Consider the following 13,629-nt stretch of genomic DNA (forward strand, 5'->3'; position numbering starts at 1 on the left):
ACAGGTTGTTCCTTTCCATGTGTAGTGCTTCCTTCAGGAGCTCCCGTAGGGCAGGCCTGGTGGTGACAAAATCTCTCAGCATTTGCTTGTCTGTAAAGTATTTTATTTCTCCTTCACTTATGAAGCTTAGTTTGGCTGGCTATGAAATTCTGGGTTGAAAATTCTTTTCTTTAAGAATGTTGAATATTGGCCCGCACTCTCTTCTGGCTTGTAAAGATTCTGCCGAGAGATCAGCTGTTAGTCTGATGGACTTCCCTTTGTGGGTAACCCGACCTTTCTCTCTGGCTGCCCTTAACATTTTTTCCTTCATTTCGACTTTGGTGAATCTGACAATTATGTGTCTTGGAGTTGCTCTTCTCAAGGAGTATCTTTGTGGTGGTCTCTGTATTTCCTGAATTTGAATGTTGGCTTGCCTTGCTAGACTGGGGAAGTTCTCCTGGATAATATCCTGCAGAGTGTTTTCCAACTTGGTTCCATTCTCCCCGTCACTTTCAGGTACACCAATCAGACATAGATTTGGTCTTTTCACATAGTCCCATATTTCTTGGAGGCTTTGTTCGTTTCTTTTTATTCTTTTTTCCCTAAACTTTTCTTCTCGCTTCATTTCATTCATTTAATCTTCCATCACTCATACCCTTTCTTCCAGTTGATCAAATCGGCTACTGAAGCTTGTGCATTCGTCACGTAGTTCTTGTGCCATGGTGTTCAGTTCCATCAGGTCCTTTAGGGATTTCTCTGCATTGGTTATTCTAGTTCGCCATTTGTCTAATCTTTTTTTTGAAGGTTTTTAACTTCTTTGCCATGGGTTCGAACTTCCTCCTTTAGCTTGGAGAAGTTTGATTGTCTGAAGCCTTCTCTCAACCCGTTAAAGTCATTCTCTGTCCAGCTTTGTTCTGTTGTTGGTGAGGAGCTGTGTTCCTTTGGAGGAGGAGAGGCTCTCTGATTTTTAGAATTTTCAGTTTTTCTGGTCTGTTTTTCCCCCATCTTAGTGGTTTTATCTACCTTTGGTCTTTGATGATGGTGATGTACAGATGGGGTTTTGGTGTTTATGTCCTTTCTGTTTGTTAGTTTTCCTTCTAACAGTCAGGATCCTCAGCTGCAGGTCTGTTGGAATTTGCTGGAGGTCCACTCCAGACCCTGTTTGCCTGGGTATCAGCAGTGGAGGCTGCAGAACAGCGGATATTGGTGAACAGCCAATGTTGCTGCCTGATCGTTCCTCTGAAAGTTTTGTCTCAGAGGAGTACCTGGCCGTGTGAGGTGTCAGTCTGCCCCTACTGGGGGATGCCTCCCAGTTAGGCTACTCGGGGGTCAGGGACCCACTTGAGGAGGCAGTCTGTCTGTTCTCAGATCTCAAGCTGCATGCTGGGAGAACCACTACTCTCTTCAAAGCTGTCAGACAGGGACATTTAAGTCTGCAGAGGTTTCTGCTGCCTTTTGTTTGGCTGTGCCCTGCCCCCAGAGGTGGAGTCTACAGAGGCAGGCAGGCCTCCTTGAGCTGTGATGTGCTCCACCCAATTCGAGCTTCCAAGCAGGTTTGTTTACCTGCTCAAGCCTCAGCAATGGCGGGCACCCCTCCCCCAGCCTTGCTGTCGCCTTGCAGTTTGATTTCAGACTGCTGTGCTAGCAATGAGTGAGGCTCCGTGGGCGTAGGACCCTTTGAGCCAGGCGTGGGATATAATCTTCTGGTGTGCCGTTTGATAAGACCGTTGGAAAAACGCAGTATTAGGGTGGGAGTGACCCGATTTTCCAGGTGCCATCTGTCACCCCCTTCCTTGGCTAGGAAAGGGAGTTCCCTGACTCCTTGCGCTTCCCAGGTGAGGCGATGCTTTGCCCTTCTTTGGCTCACACTCTGTGTGCTGCACCCAGTGTTCTGCACCCACTGTCCGACAATCCCCAGTGAGATGAACCCGGTACCTCTATTGGAAATGCAGAAATCACCTGTCTTCTGCGTCGCTCACACTGGGAGCTCTAGGCTGGAGCTGTTCCTATTTGGCTATCTTGCCCCAGCCCCCTATACCACATTTTCTTAATTCTTGTGTCCATTGATAGATGCTTAGGTTGATGACGTGTCTTTGCTATTGTCAGTAGTGCTGTGATAAACACACAAGTGCAGGCCTTCCTTTTATATGCTTATTTCTTTTCCTTTTTATAAAGACCCAGTTAATGGCATTGCAGGATCATACAGTAGTTCTAATTTTAGTTTTCTGAGAAATCTCCATACTCTTTGCCATAGTGGTTATACTAATTTACATTCCTACCAACAGTGTATAAAAGTTCCTGTTTCTCCGGATCCTCTGCAGCATGTTTTTTTTTTTTTTTTTTTGTCTTATTAATAGCCATTCTGGCCAGACGCAGTGGCTCATGCCTGTAATCCCAGCACTTTGGGAGGCTGAGGATGAGCTCAGGAGTTGGAGACCAGCATGGCCAATGTGATGAAACCCTGTCTCTACTAAAAATACAAAAATTATCTGGGCATGGTGGCGTGTACCTTTAGTCCTAGCTACTTGGGAGGCTGAGGGATGAGAATCATTTGAACCTGGGAGGCAGAGGTTGCAGTGAGCCAAGATTGTGCCACTGAACTCCAGCCTGGGCAATAGAGCCTTGTCCAAAAGAAAGCCATTCTAACTGTGGTAAGATGATATCTCACTGTGGCTTTGATTTCCATTTCTTTGATGATTAGTGAGGTTGGACATTGTTTCATATACCTGTTGGCCATTTGTATGTCTTTGAGAATTTGAATTCATGTCCTTTGCCCATGTTTTAATGTTTTTTTTTTTGTTTGTTTGTTTTTGTTGTTGTTGTTGTCTTTTGTTCTTTTAACCATTGAGTGCCTTGTGTATTCTTGTGTATTCTTTATATTAGTCCTTTGTTGAATGAATAGTTTGCATATATTTTCTCCCATTCAACCACTTGTCTCTTAATTGTTGATTGTTTCCTTCTGCCTTTGTGCTGTGCATAAGCCTGTTAGTTTATTATAGTCCCATCTGTCCATTTTTGTTTTTGTTACCTGTGCTTTTGAAGTCTTAACCAGAAAATCTTTGCTTAGACCAATGCCCTATAGTGTTCCCCTTATATTTTCTTCTAGTAGTTTTATAGTTTTGGGCCTTATGTTTAGGTGTTTAATCCATCTTGAGTTTAATCCATATGGTGAGAGATAAGGGTCTGGTTTCATTCTTCCGCATATGGATATCCAGTTTTCCCAACTCGATTTATTGAGAGTGTTCTTTCCTCCAATGTATGTTCTTGGAAACCTTGAAAATCAGTTGGCTGTAAATACATGGATTTATTTCTGGGTTCTCTACTCTGTTTTATTGGTCTGTGTGTCTATTTTTATACCAATACTATGCTGTTTTGGTTACTATAGCCTTGTAATATATTTTGAAGTCAGATAATGTGATGCCCCCACCTTGATCTTGCTCAGGATTGCTTTGGCTAGTTCTGGCTCTTCTTTGGTTTCATATGAATTTTAGGATTGTTTTTCTATTTCTGTGAAAAATTATGTTGGTATTTTGATAGCAATTGCATTGAATTTATAGATTGCTTTAGGTAATATGGACTTTTTAACAATATTATTCCAATCCTGTGATGATGGGATGGGATCTTTCTGTTTATAGCCTCTTTAACTTCTTTTATCAGTGTTTTGTAGTTTTCCTTGTGAAGGCCTTTCACCTCCTTGTTTATATTTATTCTTTGGTGTTTTACTGTTTTCTTTGTGGCTATTGCTCTGACTAGGACTTTTAGGTGTGTGGTTTTTTTTTTTTTTTCCTGAGACAGAGTTTCGCTCTTGTTGCCCAAGCTGGAGTGCAATGACACCATCTCGGCTCACTGCAACTTCCGCCTCCCGGGTTCAAGCGATTCTCCTGCCTCAGCCTTGTGAGTATCTGGGATTACAGATGTGTGCCACCACGCCTGGCTAATTTTGTGTATTTTTAGTAGAAATGGGGTTTCACCATGTTAGTCAGGCTGATCTCGAACTCCTGACCTCAGGTGATCCACCCGCCTTGGCCTCCTAAACTGCTGGGATTACAGGCTTGAGCCACCGTGCCTGGCCTTTTAGTACTATATTTGATAGGAGTCATAAAAGTGTCTTGTTCCAGTTCTTAGAGGAAAGGTTTACAATTTCATTTTGGTATGATGTTAGCTGTGGGTCTGTCAGAAATAGCCTTTATGATGTTGAAGAATGTTCCTTCTGTATTTAGTGTTTTGAATGTTTTTATAATGAAGGGATGTTTAATTTTATCTTCGTCTATTGAGATGATCTGTTTTTTGTCCTTCATTCTGTTCATATGATGTATCACATTTATTGATTTGCATATGTTGAACCATCCTTTTATCTGTGGGATAAAACCCACTTGAATATAGTTTATTACTTTATGATATGCTTTTTGATTCAGTTTGCTAGTATTAATATTCGTTGAGTTTTACATCCATATTCATCAGAGACATTGGCCTATAGTTTTGTTTTTTTGTTGTGTTTTTGTCTGGTTTTGGTATCAGAATAATGCTGACCTTATAGAATGAGTTAGGGAAAATTTCCTCCTCTTCATTTTTTTGGGAATAGTTTGAGGAGAATTGGTGTTAATTCTTTATAAGTTTGCTAGAATTTGGCAGTAAAGCTGTCTCAGTCTGGGCTTTTCTCTGTTTGGAGACTTTTTATTACTGATTTAATTTTGGTACTTGTTATTGGTCTGTTCAGGTTTTTGCTTTCTTTCTCATTCAACCTTGGTAGATTGTATTTGTCTAGGAATTTATCCATTTCCTCTAGGTTTTTTCAGTTTGTTAGCATGTTGTTCATAATAGCCTCTGACGATCTTTTATATTTCTGTGCTATCAGTTGTAATTTCTCCTTTTTCATTTCTGATTTTCTTTATTTGGGTCTTCCTTTTTTTCTTGGTTAGTCTAGCTAGTAGTTTATCCATTTTGCTTATCTTTACAAATACCCAACTTTTTGCTTCACTAATCTTTGTATTGTTTTTCTAGTCTCTATTTTGTTTAGTTCTGCTCTGATCTTTATTATTTATTTCCTTCTAATTTTGGGTTTGGTTTGTTCTTGCTTTTCTGTTTCCTTGAGGTGCATTGTTAGATTGTGTGAAATTTTCCTACTACTTTTATATAGATGTCTGTTGCTATAAAATTCCCTCTCAGCACTGCTTTTGTTGTATTACATGGGGTTTGGTGTGTTGTGTTTGTGTTTTCACTTGTTTCAAGAAAACTTCTTTATTTCCTTCTTAATTTCTACTTTGTCCCAGTGGTCTGTCATTTAGGAACATGTCATTTAATTTCCATGTATTTGTATAGTTTCCAGAGTTCCTTTTTAATTTCCATGTATTTGTATAGTTTCCAAAGTATTATTGATTTCTAGTTTTATTCCATTGTGTTCTGATAAGATATTTGGTATAGTTTCAAGTATTTTAAATTTGTGGCCTAACATATGGTGTAACCTGGAGAATATTCTATGCCAGTGAGAAGAATGTATATTCTACAGCTGTCAGATAAGATTTTCTGTAAATATCTGTTATGTCTATTTGGTCTAAAGTACAGTTTAAGTCTAATGTTTCTGGCCAGGTGCTGTGGCTCACACCTGTAATCTCAGCACTTTGGGAGGCCAAGGTGGGAGGTTTTCTTGAGACCAGGATTTCGAGACCAGCCTGGCCAACATGGCAAAATCCTGTCTCTACAAAAAATACAAAAATTAGCTGGGTGTGGTGGAATGTGCCTGTAGTCCCAGCTACTCGGAGGCTGAGGCATGAGAATCACTTGAGCCTGGGAGGTGGAGGTTGCAGTGAGCTGAGATTGCGCCTTTGTTCTCCAGCCTGGGTGACACAGCGAGACCCTGTCTCAAATAAAAAAAATCTGATGTTTCTTTGTTAATTTTCTGTCTGGATGATCTGTCTGATGCTGGGAGAGCAATGTTTTGTTTAAGTCCGTAACTATTACTGCATTGGTGTCTGTGTCTCCCTTTGGATCTAATAATATTTGCTTCAGATATTTCTTCTAGGTGCTTCATTGTTGGGTACATATGTATTTAGAATTGTTATAATCTCTTGCTGAATTGATTCCTTTATTGTTTTGTAATGTTCTTCTTTGCCTCTGTATACTGTGTTTGACTTAAAGTCTGTTTTATCTCATGTAAGTACTCTTGCTTGCTTTTGGTTTCTCTTCACATGGAGTATCTTTTTTCAACTTAAAAAGCTGAAGAGTAAAGCTTTCAGTCTATGTGTCTTTACAGGTGATGTGATTTTCTTGTAGGCAGTATATAGTTTGGTTCTGGTTTTTAATTCACTCAGCCAGTCTACACCTTTTAAGCGGAAAGTTTAATCTCTCTGTGTTCTAGGTCATTGTTCATATGTGGTGAACTTATTTTTGGCATTTAAAAAATTGTTTTCTGGGGCCGGGCACGGTGGCTTATGCCTGTAATCCCAGCACTTTGGGAGTCTGAGGAGGGTGGATCATGAGGTCAAGAGCTCGAGACCATCCTGGCCAACATGGTGAAACCCTGTCTCTACTAAAAATACAAAAATTAGCTGGGTGTGGTGGCGCGCGCCTGTAGTCCCAGCTACTCAGGAGGCTGAGGCAGGAGAATCACTTGAACCCAAGAGGCAGAAGTTGCAGTGAGCTGATATCATCAACATCATTGTGCCACTGCACTCCAACCTGGCGACAGAGCAAGACTCTCAAAAAAAAAAAATTGTTTTCTGGTTATTTTGTATGTCTCATGTTTCTTTCTAGTTTATTGTGGTTTGTTGGTTTTTTTTTTGTTTTGTTTTTTTTTGTAGTGGTAACATTTGAATCCTTTTTGTTCCTTATTTGTATTTGCTTTACCAGTAAGTTTTATACTTTTGTATTTTCATGGTGATAGGTTTTGTCCTTTCCCTTCCATTTATAGGACTCCCTTAAGCATTTCTTGTAGGTCTGTTCTAGTGGTGATGAATTTTCTCAGTTTTTGCTTATCTAGAAAAGACTTTATTTTCCCTTTTGTTACGAAGGAATACTTTGCTGGGTATAGTATTCTTGGCTGATAGTTTGTTTTTTTTGTTTTGTTTTTGTTTTGTTTTGTTTTGTTTTTTTAGCACTGCAATATATTATCTCATTGTCTCCTGGGCTATAAAGTTTCTGCTGAGAAATCTGTGGTTATTTTGATGGGGATTCCCTTTTATGTAACTAGATTTTTTTTTCTTGTTGTTTTTGGAATCCTCTGTTTTTGACTTTAAACAGTTTGACTATAATGTGCTGTGGAGAATACCTTTTTGAATTTTACGCATTTGGGATCTCTGAATTTCCTGTATTTGGATGTTTAAGTCTCTTGTTATATGTGAGAACTTTTCAGCTATTATTTTATTAAATAGGTTTTCTTTTTCTTTTTTTTAAATAATTGGGGTTTTGTTGTTTTTTTTTGTGATGGAATCTCACTGTGTTGCACAGACTGGAGTGCAGTGGCATGATCTTAGTTCACTGCAACTTCCACCTCCCAAGTTCAAGCAATCCTCCTACCTCAGCTCCCCAAGTAGCTGGGATTACAGGCATGCGCCACCAAGCCTGGCTAATTTTTGTATCTTTAGTAGAGACGGGGTTTCACCATGTTGTCCAGGCTGGTCTCGAACTTCTGACCTCAAGTGATCTGCCTGCCTCAGCCTCTCAAAGTGGTACAGGCATGAGCCACTGCACCCGGCCATTAAATAGGTTTTCAGTGCCTTTAGCCTTCTCTTCTTTTTTCTGGAATACCCAGAATTCAAATATTTGGTTACACTATGGTGCTCTGTACATCACATAGGCTTTGTTCATTCTTATTATTTTTTCTTTTTTTTGCATGTGTGTGTTACTGAGTTATTTCAAAAGGCCTGTGTTTAGGTTCTGAAATTCTTTCCTCTGGTTGATCTAGTCTGTTGTTGAAGCTTTCAGATGTGTTTGTAATTTCATGTATTGAATTCTTTCATTCTAGGATACCTGGGTTTTTAAAAATACCTATCTATCTATCTATCTATCTATCTATCTATCTATCTATCTATCTAGTAATTTCTCATTTATATCCTGAATTGCTTTTCTGATTTCTTTGTATTGTTCATCTGTGTTCTCTTGCATCTCACTGAGCTTTAATAACATTATTTTGAATTATTTCTCCAGCATCTTATAAATTTCATTTTTATTGGAATATAATGCTGGAGAATTATTTTGTTTCTCTGGCTGTGTCACATTTTCTTTCTTTTTTATGTTTTTTGTCTCCTTTACATTGATATTTGTATGTCTGGTGTAACAATCACTTCTTCTGATTTTTTGTATTGGCTTTTGTAGGGCCAGACTTTTTCCTAAAAGTGTGCCTGTGTTGTTGGTTGGGTAGGGCACTTTAGCTTTGATTCTGGGTGCATGCAGTAGTGTAGTCTCTATGCAGTTTCTTAGACTTTAAGCAGCTTCAGTGGTGTTTGTGATTTCATCAGTCGCTTAGGCTGTAGTTGTTAGTGGAGACTGTGGTGAGGTTTTGCTGGATATAGGGATGCCAGGTGGGCCAGGCCGTCCTCAGGGCCCAGTAGTGGGAATAGTGAGCTGAGTGTGCCTGTCCTTGGGTCTCTGGGTGTCCATACACGGGTACAGGTATTAACAGGTCCGAGTAGCCTATTCTTGGGCTTCTGGGTAACTTTGTTGGGTGCTGGTAGTTGCATTGGTGGGCCAGGCGGGTGGGTTGTTGTGCCCCTGGGCAGTGTGTGTATCATGAGCAATGTCTGTAGTGGTGGTAAGACAACTTTTGAGTTTCCAGGTGGCACACACTTGTTTTGGAAATGGCTGTGTTGGGCTGGGTGGGCCAGTTCCCAGGCCCTCAGGGCACGTGCCAGCGAGTACCAGCTGTGATGTTAGTGGCAGGCTAAGTGAGCCCATCTTCAGGCCCCTAGGAGGAGTGCACAGATGCCAGCAGTGGTGGATGGGTTGGGCTGATCCCCACGCCCTTGGATGGTGTGTTTGGAAATAGCCTGTCCTCAGTCTGTCCTGTGGTATGCATGGGTGCAGTTTGTGGTGGACAGATCGGGGTGACCCTTAGGTTTCCTGGCAGAGCACTTGGATGGTGGCAGCTGCATTGTGGTGAGTGGAGAGAGCCCATCCTCAGGGCACACACTAGTGCACTGTTGTCCTTTTGCTGGTGGGGATGGGGTTGCTGTCAGTGCTCACAGCTGCAGGTAGGCAACTCGTAGGCTCTAGGGAGGACAAACTTCAACCTCTGGCATTGGTGGCAACAGCAGAAATAGTTCTCAGAGTGTGTGCAAGTGCATGGCCGCTGTGCTGCTGAGGGGCAGAGAGTTGCTGCCAGTGGCGCACGCTTGGGTCCCTGGTGGCAGCAGCAGTGTGGCACACTGGAAAGCCACGCAGTTGTGCTGTGGCCCTGCTGCTGATGGAGGCAGGGTTTTTATCAATGGCAGTAGCTTTAGGCAGGCAGGTTTCAGGCTCTGGGGAACTTGCAGCACTTTGGCTCCCTTTGTCCTGGGGGCAGCCTCCCTTGTGTGCTACAGTGCCCTATCCTTGGGGTGCAGGATACTGTGTGTGCTAGAGTGTTGGCGACCCTGTCATTCCACTGAGTCCAACTGATACTATGCCACTGCAGTCATTCTGGTGAATGCAGGGGAATATCAGTGCAGCTTCAGGGATGTGGAGATGCAGGGGCTGTTGAGCCCTAGAGCAGAAGGCCTAGTCTGGTGGGGCTGGATTTTGAAATGGTGCTGTGCTGCACAGCTTGGATTTCAGGGACTGTGTGTGGTACTCGGCATGAGCTCCCTCTCTAGAGCAATGCTAACGTGCTATGTCTAGGCAGCTCCTTATGCTAGCTAGTCTGAGGGTTCTGTCCTGTGGCTAATGTTGCAGGAGTTTGCAGTGGGAATGTGGATACCTGGGGATCCCTCACCCTTTTCCTACACTGGAGAGCCTCTTTGGGCACCCAGCTGAGCTGGCTGCCAGACTTCCTTCTCCTTCCATGCCTCAGGTATTTCCTGTCACTTCTCTATTCCATTCCAGTGTTCTCTCTTAGGTGATCTATTCAAAGTGTGATTATCTACATGCTATTTTGGTTCTTTGTGGAGGAGGCAAATGTCAGATGCCTCTCGTCTGCTGTCTTGAAGCCCCTTCTCTTCTCTATTTGTATTATTTTTTATTGTCGTCGGTTTTTTTTTCCAAATATTGTGATCTGTGGTTGATTGATTCTGTGGATTCAGAACTCAAAGTTACAGAGGAACTACTGCATATTGCTTTCTAAGTATCAATTAATATCAATATATTATCTTTTAATGTTGTTGGTGAGAAGTCTGAAGGAAATTTCATTTTGTTCCCTTTGTTGGTAACCTGATTTTTTTCCTATGGAAACTTGCTTTTTTCCCCCCTTTATCTTTGGTGTTCTGACAATCACAATATAATGCATTTACATGTGAGGCTCTTTTCAATTATTGTTTTGTTAAGGTTCTCTGAGAAAGATTCCAAGATTGAATTAGACAATGAAGAGATTTATTGAGGAAGAACACCTGTGAAGGATTAAGGGGCGAGAGAGCAAAATTAGATTGGAGAGGACCTTCAGACAGTGATTCAGGTCTGTCATCAGTGAATGGAGAGAGAGAAGGAAGAAAAATTGGGTGTAAACAGTCTTAGTGCATCTCTGAGAAAGTCTCAGGCAGGGCAGTGGCAATTCCCAGGGTAAAAATTGCCTGTTAGAATAGTCCCTCATTAGGTAGGAATGGCTCTATTCTGGTTCCCCTGCTGTGTTCTGTCCTTGGCTTGGAGAATCTCCCAGGAGGAACCTGGTTTTTGTGTGCGTGCTGAAGGCTAAAGAGCTGTACTCCTCATAGCAGGATTTTTGCAGAGGAGAGACATGATTTGGTGTACCGTGGCTGCCACCTTGTGTTAAGGCACTTACTCTGAAGACTCATTTTCTGAAATTCTGGGAATTTTTTTTTTTAATCTTTGGAAAATTCCTTTTCTACTTTTCTTATATTTTTAGTCTCTACTTTTTTTCTTTTTCTTTTCTTTTTTTTGTTTTTTTTTTTGGTAATTTTTGACCCATAGGTAATTTAGTCTTTCAACTTTTGTTCTGAAAATTTTTTTCAATTATATATTCCAGTCATTCTCTTGAAATTTTTTTCAGTAAACGTACGTTTAATCTTCAAGAACATTTTTATTATACTTGTTTCTTTAGTTCAAACTTTGTTTCACAGATGTTGTCCTTTTTGTAAAGATTTATTATCTTCTTCAATCTCTCTATATTAGAGCTTTCTAAAAGTTGTCTTCTAAATTATCTGTTTCCTCTGGAGTTAATAATTAAATTCCATTTGCTTCTCTTGGGTCTTCTGTCCTCACCATGCTTGCTAAGTCTGAAGTTATCCATGTTTCAGAAAGATGAACTAGTTAACTAGTACTGGCTCATATTTTTTTAAATGTAAGATGGACTGTTTTCCTGTTACATGGCTTTCTCAAGTGAGAATTCAGACTGGGAGATCTTTTTTCTTGTGGGTAGGGCTTGGGGAGGGGAATCTGTGACTGACAGGGTTTGCCTTGGGTTGAGCAGATAGGGATCTGGTTGGCAGGGTGAAGGCTGTTCAGATGCCGGAAAGAGATCTAGTCACACTAGAAGCCCTTGCTTGTTCCAGTTTAATTTCTTTAGGGAAGATCTGTCCGGTGTTTTAGCTAGAGGCAAATCCAGGCTCACTGCCTTGTGCTTGGGATTATAGGACTAGAATGGTAGTACCTACAATTAGGTATTCTATATACAGATCTTTAATCTCCCTCTTTTCACACTCATCCTTAATTCTGTGTATAGTATAGGGTACACATCTTCAGGTTCCATCAGGTAGACTGGCTTCCAGCCCCTGGTAACAGATTCTAGGCTGTGGCTTTCTCTAGTTATTTTATCTTCAACCTAATCCTCTCTGCTCCTCCTCTCCTCCAAAAAAATGGAAAACCTCTTATTTGTTGGTGGCCTCCTTTATTCTTTTTACTGTTATGGGATTTCAGTCAGCTCTTTGTGTTTTTTTCAGTGGGGTCTCAGGAGGTGGGCAGATGATAAATGCATGTGCTTTGTCTGCCATCTCAAAGCTTCAGTTTTCTATTGTTAATTGTTACCACCTTCTGAAGTGATAGCGACATGAATAGGTAAAAGTTCAACTGAGCATTATTTTGTTTTGTTTTGTTTTTCTCCCCCCTATGTTGGCAGTTGTTTTAAAAAACAACACCCCGTTTATTAGTTTCTTCTTTGTTCATCATTTTGCTTAATAGAAGTTACACAAAATTGGGGGCGATATATTGTCTTTGCAGACTGTCATTTGCAGAGGAGTCATGAATAATGATTCCAAAGCCCCTAGTTTAGCTCCTGAATCAGACAAAGAATAAATGACAACATAAGAATGAATTTTGTTTACAGCAATATTATAATACAACATTGAATTACTGCAGTGAAGTGGTTGCAGTTTTCACAATAAAATATTACTAGCTCAAACACTAGACAAACTAAAATCACCCGACTGCTTACAAACCGAAGTGATCAGTGCAAGCAGTTGTTGCCTCAATAGCGAAAAGCAAAATCGGTAAGGCTTTTCTGGCAGTCTCTGACATGAACGCTCCATCTCTGCTCAGTGAGGACCTGGGCAGCCACACTTTGAATCTTGGTCTTCCTTTTTATCTAAAAGGGTGAAGTAGATCCCCAGCTTTCTCAGTTCTCCCACCAGGTCCTCATTCTGGCACATCTGCAGAAGAATGTTACAGCCCCTGACAAACTCTCCATTGAGGTATGCTTGTGGGATGGTGGGCCGGTTGGAATAGTCTTAATGCCCTGTCGGAGCTTGAGGTCACCCATCACTTTGTAGGCCAGATTGTCATGGAGACTGCGCAGTTGTAGGATATGCACCACCGTGTTGCTGAAGCCGCATTGGGGCTGCTCCGGCATCCTCTTGAGGAAGTCCAGCACCTTGTCCTTCACCAGCGCCTCTCTGCTGCCCGAGTCTGTCGCACGTGCTGCATGCCCAGCACAGCAGAGCCACCACTTCGCTGCTCATCCCCACACATTTGCTGGAGCCCACAATGGCCCAGGCCCTCGAGCATTATTTTGAACTGAAATACAGTAGACTTGAAAATTTCAAGAAAGACTACTTCTGGATTCTATTTGGATAACTTTTCCCGTTGCTTTGATCTTACAGTCTTTTAAATAGAAAACTAACACGTGGTCCTTGAAGAAAAGTTGGAAAACGGTCAGATAGAAGAAAAATCAATAATCCAAGGCCATCACCAAAGCAGAATTGCATTTTGCATTTACATATTTCCTTCAAACTTTTATTCAAGTATCTTTTGAATTGTTGTAATTATGTGTGTCTGGAATTTTACTTTTTTTTCCTGAAACTTAATCCTCTAACGTAAATCATTTTTATGTTACGTAGTCATTTGTAAACTTCACTTTTAGTGTTTGTAAATGGTCCATTTTGTGAATATAGTTTACTTGACTATTCTTTTCTTGGTGAGCACTTACGCTGTTTTCATTTTTTAAAAGGATTTTTAAATATATATGATGATGTAATATTAAATATCTTTATTTATTCACTTTTGTTTTCTGGATTTAGGATAAGTTTAGGAATGTATTCCCAGAATTGGGGCCAGAATTTGGGGAAGGGGAGAGAG

At 41.0% G+C, this 13,629-nt stretch overlaps 1 protein-coding gene and 1 pseudogene across 4 annotated transcripts in view, besides 2 other annotated features; one reads left to right on the top strand and one right to left on the bottom strand.

Moving 5' to 3' along the window:
• MIA2 (MIA SH3 domain ER export factor 2) overlaps nt 1-13,629 on the top strand; it is a 154,608-nt gene that overhangs the window by 123,774 nt on the left and 17,205 nt on the right. The window lies entirely within an intron of this gene.
• Nucleotides 12,405-12,906: an enhancer, noted in NCBI's record as "H3K4me1 hESC enhancer chr14:39839297-39839798 (GRCh37/hg19 assembly coordinates)". NCBI's record gives its function as "activates a minimal SCP1, AML or CMV promoter by ChIP-STARR-seq in primed H9 embryonic stem cells {active_cell/tissue: H9 hESC(primed)}" and the evidence as "EXISTENCE:reporter gene assay evidence [ECO:0000049][PMID:30033119]".
• GLRX5P3 (GLRX5 pseudogene 3) lies at nt 12,591-13,068 on the bottom strand (annotated as a pseudogene).
• Nucleotides 12,907-13,406: an enhancer, noted in NCBI's record as "H3K4me1 hESC enhancer chr14:39839799-39840298 (GRCh37/hg19 assembly coordinates)". NCBI's record gives its function as "activates a minimal SCP1, AML or CMV promoter by ChIP-STARR-seq in primed H9 embryonic stem cells {active_cell/tissue: H9 hESC(primed)}" and the evidence as "EXISTENCE:reporter gene assay evidence [ECO:0000049][PMID:30033119]".

This window comes from Homo sapiens, chromosome 14 (assembly GCF_000001405.40).
Source record: "Homo sapiens chromosome 14, GRCh38.p14 Primary Assembly".
NCBI classification, from domain to species: Eukaryota; Metazoa; Chordata; class Mammalia; order Primates; family Hominidae; genus Homo; species Homo sapiens.